This window comes from Homo sapiens, chromosome 5, assembly GCF_000001405.40.
Source record: "Homo sapiens chromosome 5, GRCh38.p14 Primary Assembly".
NCBI lineage: Eukaryota > Metazoa > Chordata > Mammalia > Primates > Hominidae > Homo > Homo sapiens.
This window is the reverse complement of record NC_000005.10, coordinates 64,794,724-64,814,792: the sequence shown is the minus strand read 5'-3', so window position 1 is coordinate 64,814,792 and position 20,069 is coordinate 64,794,724. Positions and strand designations below refer to the sequence as shown.

The 20,069-nt window shown below is 34.5% G+C and overlaps 1 protein-coding gene across 5 annotated transcripts in view; it reads right to left on the bottom strand.

Annotated features, from left to right (window-relative positions):
- CWC27 (CWC27 spliceosome associated cyclophilin) overlaps positions 1-20,069 on the bottom strand; it is a 249,846-nt gene that overhangs the window by 203,971 nt on the left and 25,806 nt on the right. For 4 of the 5 annotated variants that reach the window (NM_001297644.1, NM_005869.4, NM_001364478.1 and 1 more), the window contains exons 8-10: positions 14,466-14,545; positions 13,461-13,491; positions 10,407-10,564 (exon numbers count right to left, since the gene is read on the bottom strand). In NM_001297644.1, coding sequence (NP_001284573.1) covers positions 10,407-10,564; positions 13,461-13,491; positions 14,466-14,545 — 269 coding nt within the window. Of the gene's footprint in view, positions 1-6,227; positions 7,195-10,406; positions 10,565-13,460; positions 13,492-14,465; positions 14,546-20,069 lie in introns of those variants that run through there. The other variant, NM_001297645.2, reaches the window with a different exon arrangement.

Here is a 20,069-nt window from a genome sequence, read left to right as displayed (position 1 = left end):
CTATGCTTACAAAGAGTTATATTATAATATATGTGAAATAATGTCACATCTTTGCTAGAAACATTTCATGTCAGTCTTTCTTTAGCTGGACACACATGACTTGGCTCTGGCCAACCCCTCTCTAGGCTCTGTAGAGGTGTCATACCATTGCAGGTTCAAGTACTGGTGTCGCTGCTTTCTAGCTATGGGACATAATGCAAGTCACTTAACCTCTTAAAGTACAGTTTTTACATTTGTAAAAGAAGGATCATAAAACAAAGTATATCTTATACCTTTGCTGTGGAAGTTATATTAGGGAAATAAGTTGATTTAGCAAAGTGTCTGACCCCAAGGTAGAATAATAATAAATATCTGTGGAATAACAGAACAATTTCCTAGCCAGAACACCTATGAACCCTTCACAGCCCTTATTCATTTGTATAGGTTAGGTATTGTTTTCAAGTTGCTTATTAGAAACTAAGCAACTTGAAAGGAGACTGATACTTACTAATTTCAGTATTTTGGGCCCCAGTGCAGTACCTAGTTCAAAGGAAGAACTAAATGACTGTGCAAAACCGAAGTGGTATCCAAAGGGTAGTAAAGCCCCTGAACAGTTGCAGGGGTGTCCAATCTTTAGGCTTCCCTGGGCCACACTGGAAGAAGAAGAGTTGTCTTGGGGCACACATAAAATACCCTAACACTAATAATAGTTGATGACCTAAAAAAAAAAAAAATCGCAAAAAAAATCTCATAATGTTTTAAGAAAGTTTGCCAAGAAAGCCCAGGATGGGCTGCATTCAAAGCCATCCTGGACTGCATGTGACCCATGGGCCACGGGTTGGACAAGCTTGAGTTAGAGGAAAAGGGGAGTAAAAGAAGAGCTAGAGATAGCAAAAATAAAATCACTAATTATAATTTTCCCTCAGGCTCTTGCATAACTTCATGTACTTCCAACTTTGTGTAAAACAAAGAAGAACTTTACTTCTTCAGTGGCCCTTCTCTTCCCAAACTATACTTTCCAATTTAATTTACAGGGAATTCACAGTATATGGCCTAAAAAGGCCAGAAAGCAGTGAATATTTCACAATTTTTCAACATGACTATATTTGTTCCGGGGTAGAGACCAATGCTGAATAACTTAAAGAATGTTTTTCTGCACATAATGTCAAATCTATGTTTCAAATGCACAATTCTATTCCCTATAAACTGATGCAGTGAGATCAATGGATTCTAACTCTCAAGGATAATATAAATCAATACATTCTAAAGAGATGCAAATACCTCTTTTCTATTTTGACAAGAGAAGCTTCTCCCACATGTGCATTTCACTGCTTCCTGTCTGCCATACAAAATCTAATTGTAAAAACAGTAGGGTTGTCATATTTCTGATATACATAGCTGAAGTTCAAGGATTTTTTTTGTTTGTTTGTTTTGAAGGTGATTCCTTGGATACGGATTAACTGGTTCTCAATGAACTGAATAGGCACTTTAAAAGTGGTATTTTTATTTCAAGTGGCCCAAGAAACAGTTTAGTCCAGAATATCCAAAAATTATTGCTATTAATGTCCAAACAGAAGAAAAATGGAAGCTTGCCAGAAATGCTAAATATAGTATGGTTTCTATTACAATTAATACTATTCCAAAATTTTAACCATAACTGGTAAAGGCAATTAAAACAAACCACCTAGTCTACATTGAGAGATTATGCAACATTATTTAAATAATTGAATATAATGTTAAAGTGTTATTCCTTTTAAATAGTAGCTCCAAAAAATGACTTATTTTATTAGCATCAGAGTCATACATATGAAATTGCTGATATTTGACTGTTTTTGATTTGCAAAAATGGCAATTTTTGTTCAACCCTTTTAAATCTGGTATTTTGATCTTTTCCTGAAATATATACTGCCTACTTAACATCCATAGCACTTTGTATGCACGTCTAGCAGAGCGCTTGTCATACTGAATTGTAATTAATTGTTGACAATTCTTATTCTTACACTATATTGTGAACATTTCCAGATAGAAACCATATCTCCTTTATTTTCATGTTCCTGGAGCCTACCACTTCCTGGCACGCACCAGTTCTTACACAGTGGCTGGGAACACGAATAACATATATTTGAGAATAGAATGATTGGTTAGGAAAAAATATACAAAAATAAAAATCAAGTTCTAGTAAAAATTAGCATGTAAATTTCATTAAACCTGAGACTGGTCCAAAGCTTAATATTTGCTGTTAAACAGAAAGATTTCCTGAAAATACAACATTTGGATTACTACTACTCCATACCAAAGCAAAAAAACAACTGCAAATTTTCTTTATTCAGAGACCAACTACCCAGTATATAGATCTTGGATTTCTATTTCTCTTCCTTTCTTTTACTGTCTGCTTCAGTCCAACACGTTGGGACAAAAGAGAATGAAAGGAAGCAGAAATGTTCTAGTCCTAGTTAATTTCACTCTTTGCTTATAAATCTTCTGTGAGATGAAGAGAGGCACATCCTAGAGATGATAATTTCAATGGTTTGAATTGGGTTGTTATAATATCTGTGGGTTTCAATGTTTGTTACTAACCTGTTTTTTTTAATTTGTACTATCATTTAAAAATGTATACTATCCTTTAAATTTTTGAAATTTAAATATTGAACTATCTTTTTAAATTTCCTAAAGCAAACAATGTTTATTTACTAAGGATAACTCTGTACTTCCTAAATCTAACCATAAAGTAAGAGAATCCAGACACAAAGTACAGTAAGAGTCAAAAATTATCTAAGTACGAGAAGAAGCTTATTAATTTTTCTGAGAAGTCTAGAAATTCTGGGGAAAAAATATCCAAAGTTCCATAAGAATTCCTAATCATATATTTCAAACCCAACAAAAGAAGATCTGAAACACTAACAGCTAATTTAGGTGTTCATCCAGACCTTAGAAGGTATGAAAACATGACTCTATTATCCCATGCTCCACAATTTAGAGCTTAATCAATTCATAAGATCTTTATTTTCAACTTCAATATTCATATCTAAATTCCTGATGCTATCATTATAGTTATATATCTCATATTCAGTCAACCTAACAGAACTCCTGAGCAAAACACAAATTCCAGTTAACTTTATCAAATAAGATCATTTTTTCTTAAAAATGGAACAGTGCTGCAGTCAACTAAACATGGCATATAAGTAGAACATGGCTGATAAAGTTAGAACCTGTTCAAACACTAAGACTGATGCCCTTCTAGTTAACCGTAAAGATTATCATGAAATTTTTAATGATTGTGATTTTAAGGTATATGTTAAGATTTCTTTCATTTATATTTCAATTTGATGTAATTAATTTAGAATCACAATAAAAATTTAGAATCACAATAAAATTATAGATGATAGAAATTGCACAATAAAAGATAGCATTACTATAATGCTGTAATCATCCTAACAAACCACTGATTTTTTACTATCTGGTCCACTTATTACAGCTGATTTTATTGTTTAGTCATTTATTATGTATCAATATACAGATGCTAAAAACAAGCAGGAAAGACAACACAATCTGATTTACATGATCAACTTGCAGTAGCTGAGCTCCACCTACAGGCAAAAAAGGATTCTTTACAATAAGCTTTAAAATAGGACTTTCCAAAACAAGCTGCAAACTACCCCAGTTTTCATCAACCTTGGCTGGATATTAGACTTACATGGAGTGTTTTTAAAAATTTCTTATGGCTGAATACCAAAATTTATGAACAGCTTGTTCAGGAATGGGATGATTCAAATGTACAAACAAGGTTGAGAGATACTGATTTTATTCCTTATCAGCCACATTTTAAAAAAACATTAGAAACACCCAAATATCTTATTTTCTTTCTCTAAAATTACTTGATTCTCACTTTCTTGACCCTTTTATCTTTCTTAAGATTAAAATCAAGTGCAGCTGAGATAAATGTCTTAACCCTGTTGAACTGCAAAAGTTCTGTGAAAGACCTGAGGTAACCCTACAAAATATCATCCACTTTTACATTATTCTATACCTCAGAAATAATCAAGGAGGTATGTGTTTGGGAGTAGAATTCTTAACACTGAATGCATATTAGAATATCTACAGAGCTTTGATAAAGTATATTGCCCCAAATTAATGTATGCTCTTAGATGTGAGAAAAGTAAATAGCATTAAAAAAATACTTAGAGGAGTAAATTTAACCAAGAAGCTAAAAGATCTGTCTGCTGAAAACTATGTAACATTGAAAGAAATTGAAGAAGGCACAAATAAATGGAAAGATATCCCATTCTGGATTCATGGATTGCAAGAATTAATATTAAAATGTCCATACTACCCAGAGTGATCTACAGATTCCAGGCAATTTCTATCAAAATTACAATGTCATTTTTCACAGAAATAGAAAAAAAAATCCTAAAATTAGTATGGAACCAGAAAAGACCCCAAATAGCCTAAGCAATCTTGACCAAAAAGAACAAAGTGGGAGGCATCACGCTCTCTGATTTTAAAATGTATTATAAAGCTATTTTAATCAAAACAGCATGGTATTTGCATAAAAACAGACACCTCAACCAATGAAACAGGATAGGAAGTATAGAAATAAACTCAGGTATTTACAGTCAATTGATTTTCAACAAAGGTGTCAAGAACACACAATATATAAAGAAAAGTCTCTTCAATAAATGTTGGGAAAACTGGATATTCACCTGCAGAAGAGTGAAATTGGACCTTTATCTCAAACTATAAGCAAAACTCAACTCCAAATGGATAAAAGACTTACGGATAAGGCCTGAAACTGTAAAGCTACTAGAAAAAAAAAAGAGGCGGGAATAGCCTGATGACACTGGACTCAGCAATGATTTCTTGGATAGGACTCCCAAAACACAGTCAACAAAAGTAAAAATAGACAAGTAGGATTGCATCAAACTAAAAAAGTTCTGCGCAGCAAAGGAAATGAATAGAGTGAAGAGACAACCCATGGATTGGGAGAAAATATTCGCAAATCATACATCTGATAAGGGGCTAATATACAAAATATATAAGGAACTCAAACAACTCAACAGCAATAAAACAAATAACCCAACTAAAAAATAGGCAAAATACCTAAACAGACATTTCTCAAAGTTTGCTTAGACTAGAAGAATAAGTTTTGTGGCCTGGCACAGTAGCTCACGCCTATAATCCCAGCACTTTGGGAGGCAGAGGCGGGTGGATCACGAGGTCAGGAGATCGAGACCATTCTTGCTAACACAGTGAAACCCTGTCTCTACTGAAAATACAAAAAATTAGCCTGGCGTGGTGGCACGCTCCTGTAGTCCCAGCTACTTAGGAGTCTGAGGCAGGAGAAACGCTTGAACCCATGAGGCAGAGGTTGCAGTGAGCTGAGGTTGTGCCACTACACTCCAGCCTGGGCAACAGAGCGAGACTGCGTCTCAAAAACAAAAAAAAAGAATAAGCTTTGTAATGCATGCTTACCACAGTTAATGTACTTCAAAATTGCTAAAAGAATACATTTTTAATGTTTTCACCACACACAAAAAAGGTAAGTTGCTGAAGTGGATAAATACGTTAATTAGCCTGATCGAATCTTTCTACCATGAATACATACAGCAAAACATCACATAGTAACCTATAAATATATACAATTACTATTTGTCAATTAAAAATAATATTGTTTTAAAGGTTAGAAAAGTGGTTACTATTAGGAGATGAGGGGGAAGTAACTAGAATGGGGCAAGAGGTGAATTTATGGGTAATGGCAATTTTTTGTTTCTTGATCTGGGTGATGGGTATATGGATATATTTAGTTTGTAAAAATTCAGCTAGCTGTATACTTATGTGCACTATGAAATATAGTTAATAGACACATTGTTTGTATATTATACTTAAATTAAAAGTTTAAAAGTTAAAGAAGGATCTTCCCAGACTTTACCTCAGACCAGACAATTCTGAATCTGTGGGTGAGGGGCCTACGAATTAGTATTTTTCAAAGCCTCCTCCGTGAGCCTAATGTGCGGTTAGGAGTGAAAACCACTCCTATAATGGAACATAATTAATTAAATATTTTATTTATCCACTCATTCCACAAAGTTTAATGACCAGTTACTATATGCTTAAGATATTAGCCGCCTCTGAGGATATAAAGATAAATAAGACATAGTCTCTAAAGAGCTTAGTTTAGGCAGAGGAGAGGCGAATCAATAAATCCCTATTGAAAATACAAGCAAGCTACTTACAAGATCCAGAGGAGAAAGTGATTTGCCAAAGAAGAATTTATTCATTTTTTGTTCATGTATTTACAAAAATATTTGGGTACCTACGCTGTTTGAACATGGAGATACAAATGTAAATGGATATGATCACTACCTTCAAGAAAGTTACAGTATAAGGATACACAAAGAAGAAAAAATGTATATGTAACCTAATATTACAGGAGTGTGAAAAGGGTGCACATAGGTTTGCACTAAGGAGTCAGGGAATATAGTACCAACTTGCTGACAACTTGCTGACCTTGGAACTAACATGATACAAACTTGAACTCATCCAGGAGCAGTAGGGATAAAAATTAATATTCTACAGGACTGCTTCTCAAACTAATGCACACAAAAATCACCTGGGGATCTTGTTAGAATGCAGATTCTAATTAAAAATGTGTAGGACAGGGCCTGAGACTCGGTATTTCTAACAAGTTCCCAAGTGATACTAATGCTACTGCTTCACAGATCACACTTTAAATAGTAAGGTTCTTGAGAGAGATTAGTCTCAAGAGAAAAGAGACAAAAATCTCCAGAGCAGGAAGACCAAGAAAAAAAAATGGAAAGTAGCCAGTCGATTATCAACTAGATGGCCTTAGTGGAAGTAGTTTCAGTGGAGTGGTAGGTGAGAAGCTAGATGATATGTATTTAGAAATAAATAGGAAGGAGGTAGGGACAGGAAATAAAATGGAATGGTTTTGTTAGTTTTTACTCTCGAAGCGGGGAAGAGAAAGAAATACGGGTTGAAGAAATTTACTCTCATTTCATAAAAAAACAAGCAGCCAGGTGATCCGTTGAGTGAGTTTGAAGTGTGAAGTAAACATTGTGGCGAGTGAGTAATAAGGAAGCACTGGAGACACAGCTGAGGCTGGAATCTAGAAATCCATAATAATACCAGCTTGTATATGCCTGTGTGATTCTGCTGAGCTGTATCCAGTAGTCAAGATACAGGCATAGAGAAGGTGGGCTGGAAAGAAAGTGGGATTGGTACATTTTAAAAAGGGAAGAGACAAGGGATTAGAAATCCTAGGAAGTCAGAATAGATATAAGGGTGCCGATTCTCTAAGGAGAGAAACTAGGAAGCGTTTTGGATTTGTATTTCCCCTGAGCTCTTTTTTCAAATGAACAACTAGAGACATTGTTGAGAACACATTACTAGGAGAAGATCCTACTATATGTAAACTTGTTGAAAATTATTCTGTTAAATATCATTCCCCAGTTTAAATATTAAGCACTCAATAAATACATGTGTAGGTTTAACATCCAAAAGTGATAACCAGCTTTAACAGATTCCAGATGTTTCCTTACCAATAGAAGCAATACCACACGTTTTCAGTAAAATTATACTTTGAACGGCTCATTGCTTAAAGGGCTGGTGGGCTAGTCTAGTTTCTGATCCTACTGCTTAAATGGAAGAATGACCAAAGGATAATAGAGTACTTCAAGCACACCCTGATGAAAACTCATGTATCAAGAGTACACATTTTTGAATAGATAATGATATCACACTGACATCCTATCTGGCTGGCAGCTATACCCATTATAACTCAAACTGAGCAGTGACTTTCCTTTAAATATAATTATCCCTTTTACCACGTTGTAGTTTTTCAGTACATTTGGAGCTTTCCTGTGTTGTTTTATTTTTTAACCATAAAGTTAACTTCAGAGACTCGCTGGTATAAATAACCAAAAGTACTAATGATTTGGAAATTTATTAAAATTTATTTTTATTTTTTTAGAGACAGGGTCTTGCTCTGTTGCCCATACAGGATCATAGCTCACTGCAGCCTAGAGCTCCTAGGCTCAAGCAATCCTCCCACCTCAGCCTGCTGAGCAGCTGGGATTACAGGCATGAGCCACCATGCCAGGGTCTGATTTTGGCAACTTTATGAACTGAAAAAAATACGTGGTCATGAGACAATCATGGAAATTTCTACACTAGAGGAAAAAACTGTTTCTTCCTTTTGAAATTCTGTACTTTCTCCTCTATCCTGACCTTATTTTTCTTTTGTTTCTCTTTGTAGGTAGGACAGATAGGATGAAGGAGGGAGAGTAGAGAATGTGAATAATGAAAATGTGGGGGAACAGAACAGTTATAAATAAATGTGTGCTGTCTGCACCATTTACAAAGGCACACTTTGCCAATTATTTTACCTAAAAGAATCCAACAATGTCCACAATACTCATGTTTACCTAAAATATTCAAGCCACCTTTGGAGACTTCTTATTTAATTTACTTTTCTAAGTAGAAAAGTATTTAACGTACTTTTTAAATTTATTTAATTTTCTTAGTAGACTTGCAATGCACTTGAATATAACTTTTTCCTCTACAGTGAATATACAAATTATGTGATTTTAATTTTGCAAATTATACTGATTTATAAAAAGAGAAAAATTGTTTACATAAGTAAGTGGATATATATGTTCCTATGTAAGAAATTACCATAAAAACTAAGCTTTAAATGTCTGTTAAGTCATCCAGTCTATGGTATTTTGTATAATAGCCCAAAACACTCCTCTATCAATCCATTCTCCATACTAAATACAATCTCAATATATCATTTGCCTGTAAAAACTTCAGTGGCTCTCCAGTATTCTCATGATAGATCAGATTCCTAAATCTAGCTATCAATGCCATGTTTGGTCATCAGGCCCATACTACAGCCAAGGAAATCTTTTAAGAATAACCCTTAATTGTAAGAGTGAACACAATTTTGGAAAATGCAAACTTTGACTTTTCTTAATATTAGGTAAACAATTTTTTAAAGACACTTATGAAAGGTACATTAAAAATGAACTTTAGTTCTTATACAAAATTTAGCATTGCTAAATTATAGTTTATATTATAGGGTATATAAGTATTTGAAATTGATTAAAGCCTACAAGACTGAGTTGGGAGTTTAAGGAACACTTAAATCTAACATAAATAAATATTTGGTTGGCTCATCTATTAAAATTTTTAAATATATTTTTGTTACATTATAAACCTAACCTTTAAAAAAATTCATAATTTTTTAAAATCAGAAAACACATGCCTTGAATGAGAGGAATAAAACATTATGTATCCATAATTATATTCATGATTTAACTAAAAGTTACAGTGTGAATGAGAGGTTTTTCAACTCTATGAATCTAGAAGCATGCATATGATCACTAAAATCTTTAGTCTATATTAGCTACTATGTATGGTATATATAATATAATCTAGTATGTAAAATTATTCAACAGTGATTACTTGAGTGTCAGGTGAATATTGCTGGAAAAAAGACATTTAAGATGACTCCTAAGTACCATTTCTAAATGTTAAAAGCTATGCTTTTAGTGGAAATTTCTGGGAATCATTTTTATTTGATTACATAAAGAAAAAATTGAGGGAGCTATGCAATGATAGCGTGGAAATCCTTTTTAAGTTTTTCTACATGTGGTTGAGAAACATGATAGGGAAAAAGAATGTTATTTAAATGTAGTTACATTCATATTATCCCCAAATAGTATTTGAAGAAAACAAATACTATTGTTTTTTAAAGCAATATTATTTAAAATGTATACTATAAAGTTGAAATAGAATCACAAAAGAGATAATTTTTCAATTAAGTTGAATTTCAGGAGAATAAAATGTTGAGTCATAAATCCAACAAACTTTCATCACCAGACAGTAAACTTTTCACCATTTGCTGAAATTTATTTTATGATACTACTGAGCTTAGGATAGGTATATGGTATTTGGTAAATCAGACTTGAAAAGATATTTAAGAATGTTTTCAGGCTCACTCATTTTCTTCATCAGTTTTGACAAATTTTGCTTACCGAAATTATTTGAGGATGTCTCTTTTCTTTCTATACAATTACTCTACTGCTCTCATTGGTATTTAACAAATGCATTCTTCCACATCTAGCTAATACATTATTACCCTATATATATGAAAGTATAGAGCCTTTCTAAAAAAGGATCAGAGAGAAATAAAATGGAATTGAACTCATAGGATCATTGTTATGTTTACTTTAAGCTTGGTGTATTTTATTTTAGGCCTGCTAATGGGCCAATTTGTACAACTGTTATGTTTATCAAACATTATGAAAATAGTATTTTAAAAATTAGCTGAAGAGAGGATTCAATCTGAATTAAAGTGAAATATAAAAAGACAAAAACTCTGATATCTAGCACAGTAACTGACTCACCTGCGGCTGACTGATTTCTTCTCCACTTCTCCTTCTCCAGCTGATTTAACATTCGCACTTGTGTCCTTTTTTAATTTTTTGGCAATTCTTTCTCTCATCAGGTTCTTTTCATCACCATCAATATATTCATCATGCTCTGCACTTTCATCTTCTCCATCCTGTAGAAATGGAAAATGAGTATTTGCCAGGTGCTCAATTTCCCCTTTCATTTCTAGAGATCTATTGCATCCACTGAATCTCCTTATTGCATTCTAAACTAGGTTTTTTTTTTTATTTTGTTTTCTTTTGTTTTGAATTATAAGCCCTTGAAGAATCTGCTACAGGTGGGAATAGCCCTGGGTTCTGCTCTAAGCCAACTATGTAATTATGGGATACCCCAGGAAAGGCTGTTCGCTCAACTCATGCCCAGCTCCTTTGTGCAGCAGACTTCTCCCTCTGTGTCACTCGGGCTATTCTGTCTATATTCCTATTCTTATCTCAGTGGGAAATGTGGCTTTTGAAGGCAGTTGGCCAGCATACTGACCTCAACAGGGATCAATTCAAGTAGAAGAGGTGTAGTGCAGAAGCTGAGATTTCTATAATCCAAGTCACAGCAATCACTTCTCTTGTGAAAACCCTCTAGTGGGTCCCCAACTCACTCAAGGCCCTATGCAATCTAAACCTCCCTGACATAATCTCCTACAACTCCAGCCCACCAACACTAGCCAACTTTGGAGTTGTTGTTCTCTCCAGCCTGAAACAAATACTCTATTCCAGATATCTCTTCATTGCTTGCTCTTTCATCTCCTTCAGATCTTTGCTCAAATGTTACCCTCTTGGTGATGAGATTAACCTATTAAAATGGTAGAACCACACACTTACCTCCAGTACTCTTTCATCTTCCCTGGCTTATTTTCCAAAGTACTTATCACCTATCTGATACACCATATATTTTAATTATTTGCATGTGTATTGTCTGTCATCCAATTACAGCAAACACTCCATGAGAGCTAAAATTCTGGCCTGTTTTGCTTACTGCTGTATCTTCAACTCCTAGAATAGTGCCCAGCATTGACAGATGGAGGAACAAAGGGAAGAAAGAGGGGAGAGAAGAAGGAAGAAATAACCCCAAGTGGATCATTTTTCTTTTGTGATTCTTTCTTTGATCTGGTGAGTCGTAGTGAAGCAGGATTCTTAATTTGAGACTTGTGGACCCCTAAAGCACTGGTCCTCAAAGTCTGGTCCTTAGATGGTATTACATAGTTGTTTATTAACACCTAAAATTCTAGCCCTCATTGCAGACTTATTGAACCAAAATCTCTGGGGTAGGAATTACGAATGTTTTCAACAAGATGTTTAAGTAATTCTTAAGCACTAAAAGGTGACAACCACCAACCTAGGCCTTCCATGCTCAGGCCTCAGGAGATCTAAAAAAAATTCCCTGCAAATTCATATAATTTTGGTTGTGAATGTAGTACATTTTCCTGGGAAAGGATTCACAGTTTTAGTCACTCACCCATGATATTAAGAGCAAATCTATACTTTTACTTTCTATCCTATACATTGATCCTAACTTCTAGACCCATATTATGTTACACAGATGTCTCCAAATTACCTCAATCTTGAAATGTATAAAATTAAGCTCATTATTTTTCATCCTTTTCTCCACCTCAACCCTATGCTTTCTTTTGCACCCATCTAACAAGTTGCTCAAACCAGAAACCTTGTGGTTGTCTTGGACTACTCCTCCCTCACCTCATAGTGTAGAATCAGTCACCTCCTAGACCTCTTTCAAATCTACCTCTTTCCCATCTCACAGCTGTGGTCTTATATCAAGCTCTCCTCCTACAATAGCTTCCCAGTATCAGTCTGTTTCCTCTAATTTGTCCTCTATAATATCGCCAATAGTGATCTTCCTGAAATGCAAAATTGATCATAGCATCCTTCTTTTTAACAAACACCTTTCAACTGTTCCTCACTTCCTTTTAGGAAAAAACTCAAACCCCTCACCATGGCCTATGAAGCTCTGTAATGAAGCTCTGGCCTGTCACCACACCCTGTTCACGCTGGCCTGCTTGCAGCTCTTAGAACACACCAAACTCTCCTGCTTCGGACCATTTTGTATATGCAGTTCCCCTTACCTTCAATACTCTTCTTCCTTGCTCTTCACAAGACAGACTCCTTGAAACTTTAAATTTCCGTTTGTATTTCCTAAATAAGGTATGATCTCTCCTTATTTCCATGCTTTAGCATATGCTATTCTCTGAGCTAGAGGGACCTCACCCCCTTCATCACTTTCTTTTCTGACTTAGCTAACTCCTAACTCTCATATAAGACATAAATAGCATCATCTCTTCCAGGAAGCTTTTCTTGACAAGGTCAGATATTCATCCTCTCTCTATCTACTACTGATAGCCATAGAGAGCCTTCTCTTTTGACTGTGATAATAGATAAATCTGTGTTCATGCATGGAAAGTTATGTACTTCCTAGTAAATTATACAATGCACAGATTAATGGGTTTTTATATAAAAAGTGGCATATGTATAATTTGAAAAACTTGACTCTTATGTATTAAAGGAAAATCTTCCTTCTGTTTTGTTAGCTTTGTTAGCCACTACAACTAATAAAGATCACTACACTCTTGAATGAGAATCTTTTGAAATGTGTATATAAAAAGGAGACACTACTATAAATTACTGATCCAAGCATTTCCCATATATCATGTAGGATGCCCACACACCAATATTTAAACTTTTAATACAATAAATTTATAACATCTGAAGTTTGAGTATTAACGTAATGTTATGTGAGGGGGAGAAAAAAACAGACTAGAAATTCATATATAAGATTCTAATGTTGTAGAGAGATATACACACACACACACGCACACCCCTAGAGTAAGGAAATAGTCTAACACCTAAATAATTTCTGTTTTTCATATTTTTCCAAAATTTGACATATATAACTATAAAAGTAATATACGTTACTTTTTAAGAACAAAATTAAGTTTTTGTAAAAATTTTGTACTTTCTATGAATTGTTCAAACTATATTAATACCAAAATAAATACTTACATCAACTAAATCTGGTGCATCACCTTTTTCACTATAAAAAAAATAAGCAAAACAAATTTTAGTTTCAAGGTAAAACTAACACAATTATTTTGTAACCCAAAAATCTAGAATAGTTTGCTGGGAATAACATTCCAAAAATGTATTTCAACATAGGAATTTAAGAAAGGCATTATAGAACAGATGGAAACATTCTTTAGAGTCATTTTTTATAAGTGGAATAAGTATGATTCATTAGCAAATATATGCGTTCACTAGAATTTGAAAGGAAAAAAGCAAACAACAACCGACAGTGTTATTTTTATGATCAATGGTCTGCAAAAAACAATTTCTTTTATTGGCTTGAAATATTCTGACTAAAAAAACCCCCAAATCCTTCAAATAGAAGGGTATTAAGAAAAGATTGTCTTAAAACAGGAGTTTCGAAAATGAGCTAAACTGAGTACAACAGCATTGTAGTGCCCCTTGAGATACTGGCCCAGTTTATCTTGTGCTATTACATCTAACACCAAGACGTTTTCCCTTCTCAAAGAGAAGCAACAAAGGTAGCAAGACAACTTTCTGTTAACTCCTCAAAGTATGTGAGAATTTATAGTCAGTGGACTGGCCCCCAAACTGGTAACTTCTTCACAAAAACCTTTAACTGTAATTTGTTCATTCATGATACAATTAAGGCAAAAATGCTTCAAGGAAAAGGTAGCAAAACAACCTTGAATTAAGCATTACACTGTTAAAGCAAACAGTTTCTAGTCCTAACATGTAATGGTAAAACAATTTTAAATGTAATTCATTCAACAGAGGTAGAGAGCAAGTGCGAAAGTGACTAGAGCGTTTGTTTCTCTCTATCAAGCTTGAAGTTCTCTATCTCTGTTATCAAAATGCTTTATTTTTTTGGCTGGCTTAAAAATTTTTGACTTATGAGGACTGACTGTTTACTCACAGAAGAAGCAAGAAAATTATCTGAGCCAGAAAATTAAGAACTTAGGATCATACCAACAATGGACTAACCTTTCTACAACTGGAACAGAACTGAGATGTGGATCATCCTTAAGCAAGTCATGACTACTTTTGCTTTTGCCCTTCATGCTCTGCAAAGAATGTACAATATAATCATGAGGGGGGAAATAAACAGTATTCCTAAATAACAAGTTAACAAATTTACATAAAACCTAGCAATGATATAATATGGTTAGCAAAAGATGTATTCCTGAAAAGTTTAATACAAACTAAAGTTTTATAAGTAAGAATCTTACTCTTCTATTGACTGAAAATAGTATTTTAGAAACACCTTTTCTTTCAAAAAATGATATATCATTTAAAAGAAGTCTGTTGAATTACCAACTTGAAGCACTAAATTCTCATAATAATTTGCATACTATGAAACTAGTTAATTTTTATGACCCCTATAACTTAGAAGCTACATCACAAGAGTATTGAAATAAATGCATGCTATTATTCTTCAAATATGCCACCTATACTGCACAGAATCACTTTTTAAAATGTTACTCAAGCAAAAGATAAGTGCATCCCCGAGGAACTACTTACCAACAACAACAAAAAAAGATATAGAAGAGCCTCTTGAGCATGAGAATATTTATCAGTGACCAAATATTTATTAAATGCTTTAATTTCAAAGTTCATGTTTTCAAAAAATGTACATTTTAGAAGGGAAACAAGATATAAAAAGGTTTAAGAAGTAGCATTATAAAACAACAACTACTGCTGCTATTAAGTATATATATATATATTTTGAGATGGAGTCTCACTCTGTCACCAGGCTGGAGTGCAGTGGTGTGATCTCAGCTCACTGCAATCTCCGCTTCCGGGGTTCAAGCGATCCTCCTGCCTCAGCCTCCCAAGTAGCTGGGATTACAGGTATGCGCCACCACGCCCAGCTAATATTTGTATTTTTAGTAGAGACAGGGTTTCACCATGTTGGCCAGGATGGTCTTGATCTCCTGACCTCATGATCTGCCCGCCTCAGCCTCCCAAAGTGCTGGGATTACAGGCATGAGCCACTGTGCCTGGCCAAGTATTAAGTATATTCTTTGTGCTAGGCACTGTGCTTCAAATAGCATTGCTAACCCTCTCTTCTTCTCTTCCCAAATTAAAGTATATGAGGTGGGAATTATTAGCCCCATTTTACAGATGGTTAAAGAGATTAAGTAATTTACTAAAGGTCACAAAACTAGTCAGTGGTAGAGGATCTAGGGTTTAAATCCAGGTCTGTCTGACAATAGTACCCATATATCGAAAATCTAAATGTATCCATTTTTCTTTTCCTCTAGGCCCCTATGGGCCCAGAATACCGGCCTGGTTTCAGAGCTGCAATCTCCTATTCTACAGATTTCCCTACTGCAGGGTGGGACACCTCAAACTTACACCCTGTATCTTGAGGGGGGAAGATGCTCACCACCCCAACTCCCAACTAATCATATAAAAATGAATAGTTAAGAGATTAGAGTTGACAGAAAGAATAATTTCTGCTTTGAAAAATTTTGAAGAAAATTTTATGTGGGAAAATTTATTACAAAGTATGTTAACTAAAATGTTTAAATGACATTTAAACAGACACAGACACAGAGAGATGAAAACACTTCTTTTCCTTAAGCTCCCTTCACCACTTTTAATTTGAAAAACAGGCTCTTAAATAGATTTTAATTTCTGTATTAATATGGAGCTCTCTATAGAGTTAATCAATTAAAACATGCTTATAGTGCAATTTCATAATACAAAATTTTCTCCAACAGTTAATCTAAATATGCTATTATTTGTAGTTTTAAAAAGTCATAGAATCTGAATTATGCAATTAATCTATATATCTAATTTCATAAACTTACTTAAACTAAGGAGTGATGAAAAAGCAAAATGTCATCTAATTACTGGATAATGTTTGTCTGACTATGAAAAACGGGGGAAAATATTCACAAAACAGAAGGTGGTATAGTAGAAAGAAGACAGGACAAGAAGAAAGATGGTGGTTGGACCAAATGAGTTTCAAAATGTAGTATTCCACAATTCCATGGGGTTTAGTCTAAAACATGTACCATTTGTTGAAACACAGTGATCTCATGAGACCTCAGAAACATTGCCTACAAAATGGGAATAATCATCATAGCAGCCTTGCCTATTTCACATAAGAGAATTAAATGAGATTATCTGCAAAAGTGTACAGTGAACATCAAATAACTTAAACAAGAATAAAAGCCTGAACATCTTTTGTTCATGCTTTCCTTCCTTAAAATTCCTTCCTCCTGCATCTCTGGCCGTCAGATTATTTTCATCTACCTTCAGAAATAGTCCTATATTAATTCTCCCCACCTGGTTCCCTTATAAAGTCACAATCATAAACATCACAGTCAGAATTGGCCCCAGATCCTCTGTTCTAGCCTTTTGGTCCACTGATCAGAAAATGACTTACACTAATAAATAGCAAAAGCAAGATTAGAATTCAGATCTCTAAGTAAGCTCTTGGTCCATTAATGAGCTATACTATTTCACTTCCTTGTGAATGTTAGTTTACAATTGTTAATTTCATTGTTAATATATTTTTAAAATGGGTTCTTGTATTGTATTCTTGAAAACCACTAAGAGCGATTTTAAGTTTTCTCCTCACAAGAAATGATAAGCATGTGAGGTAATTCATATGTTAATTAGCTCCATTTAGCTAATTTAAAAAGTAATTAATTTTTTTAAAAAGGTTCTTGTTTATCTTCCAAAACTTACTTTAAATAGCTGGAAGGAAAAAGAAAAACCTTGTTTTACACTAATTTAAAATAAGACTTGACAATAGGAGGAACCTGTGTTTAATTTTAATAATCATTACCATTTCAAATTTTAACTAACTTTTAAAATTAAATTAGTATAGAAATATATGAAAAGCCAAATTGTTAGGCCTCTCTTCCCACTACAGTAGACTCTGAATCCTGCAGGGAGAGAAAGCAAATTGGAGATGAACTGAAGAAATTAGGAGACAATCCTTAAGAGAGTGAAAATGAATTCAGACATTTTTCCCTTTAATGCCTATTCTTTCTTAATGACCTACTTTAAGGTTCTTATTTATACCGTCAAGTAACAGTGAATTTAAAGGAAGAACAAACACCAAATATATTTTTAAATGTTTTAAAAATTGCTTAAAATAAGTTGACTAATTAAAAGGTTTAGCTGATGAATGAAATACTAAATATATTTAGTGAATTCAGTGTTAGGGGCTTCACAGAAAATTCAAAACTATCTGCAAACAAATGTAAAAATGAAAATCAGAGGGACACAGAAAAATTATGTTATCTGGAACTTCATATCCAAGAACAAAGAGGCAGCAAAACAGTAGGGACTAAATAGAATACAGGTAGAAGGGGGCAGAGGGAGAGAGGAGAAGGGGTGGGGGAAGTGACGGGGGAGACAGGGAGAGAAAGAGAAGAAAGGAAGGAAGGGAGGGAGTCAGAAAGAGAGGAAAGAAGGAAGGAAGGAGGAAAGAAGGGAGGGAGGGAGGGAAGAAGGAAGGAAGGAAGAAGGAAAAGGAGGGAGGGAGGGAGGGAAGAAGGAAGGAAGGAAGAAGGAAAAGGAGGGAGGGAGGGAGGGAGGGAGGGAGGAGGAAGGGACACAGGAGCAACATTGACCAAGAAACTGGAAGGTCTGGGGCTCAATCTCTAACTCTGTGTGGATAATTTTATGAGTCAACTTGGCTAGGCAATGGTACCCAAATGTTTAGTCAAACACCAGTCTAGATGTTGCTATGAAAATATTTTTTTAGATATGATTAGTATTTAAATTAGTAGGCTTTGAGAAAGCAGATTACACTCCATAATGTGGGTGGGCCCCATCTAATCAGTTGAAGGCCTTAAGAGCAAAAACTGAGGTTTCCCAAGGAAGAAACAATTCTGCCTCAAGACTGTCACAAAGAAACCCTGCCTGAGTTTCCAGCCTGTGTATTTTGAATTTATCAACTATTCCCTGAGTCTCCAGCATGCTGGCCTACTCTACATATTTTGGAATTGCCAGCTCCCACAATTGCAAGAGCCAATTCCTATAAATAAAGAGATAAAGTGACAGATTAATAGATAAATGGATCTATTTTATTCTTTCTCTCTCACATCCTATTGGCTGCTTCTGTTTCTCTGTAGAACCCTAACTAATACACTAAGAGACCTTCAGCACAGAACCAGAAAAACTTATTAGTTAAAAAAGATATTTTAGAGGCCACAATCTATTCTCCCAGGCAATGCAGGAAATCTCCTTGACATCACTGCTGACTGGTCAACCATGTCTCAACACCTCAAATGAGCTTATTAATACACACACACACACACACACACACACACACACACACACACGCACAATTTCTTTTTAAATGGCTTCTATTATTAGGAAATTCTCTGATTGGAGAGAAAAAAAATCTATGTATATTTTCCAACCATCCAACCAACCCTACTTCTACCTTCTAGAACTACAAAGAAGGCCTGTTGTTAGGCATACTATATAAAGTTAGTTTAGACATTCATTAGACAGAATAATGGCCCCCTAAGATGTCCATGTCCTAATCCCTCAGAACCTATGAACATATCACCTTACATGGCAAAAGAGACTTTGCATATAAATGAAAGATTTTGAGGTGGGGACATTATCCTGGATTATCAAGATGGGTCCAAATGTAATTACAAGAGTCCTTACAAGTGAAAGAGGGAAGCAATAGAGTCAATTTTAGAGTAATGCAGCATGGGAAAGACTTCACCAGTTATTGCTGGCTTTGAAGATAGAAGAAGGGGCACACCAAAGAATACAGGCAGTCTCTAGAGGTTGAAAAAGGCAAGGGAATAGATTCTCCCCAGAGACTCCAGAAAGAAGTCCCTGCAAATGCCTTGATATTTAGCCCAGTGAAACCTATTGCAGACTTCTGACCTCCAGAAATATAAGACACTAAATTTGTTTTGCTTAAAGTGGCTTAATGCCACTAAGTTTATGGCAATTTGTTAAAACAGTAATACGAAATTAATAAAATATGTTAACACCTTTGTAAAATTAGCTAAGTCTAAACAACTAGAAAGATAAGCAAATTAAAGTTGAATACAATTTGATAAGGCAGAAACATTTTACAAATTACACTGTTTAACATTTCTGACCTCCTCTTTGCAAACAGCCTAGCAGCATTCTCCATGCCATGGCCGCCTCCCAACTTTTTTGGGAAAGTTTAATTTCATAAAATAAACTAGAATAGGACAAAACATCCTTACTTTAGTCTCAAAAGTGGCGAAACGGTCTACCAAGATAACTTTTTCTGAGTGAGGAAAAAGCCCTTCTATAACTCTGGATTTGAAGTAAAAATGTTACTACGTCTTGTAGGAAAGAAATGCTCTGTGTATCACTGTGAATGTGGCACAATTTGATCACTGAATAAAAATCTAGCTATTGAGATACTTTTAAAATGGGCCTGTTGTTTAACTTACCTCATAAAAACTAGTTATCTTGATTGTAAGCTTTAACTTGAAAAATATTTCCTGACATTTATATTTCAGTTACATGTAAAGATTCCTGAATAAATTTTAAACCAATACAGACATTCAAATAAAAGCATTGTTTAAGAAAGCAATATGAAGGGAGCAATATTCCAGATAA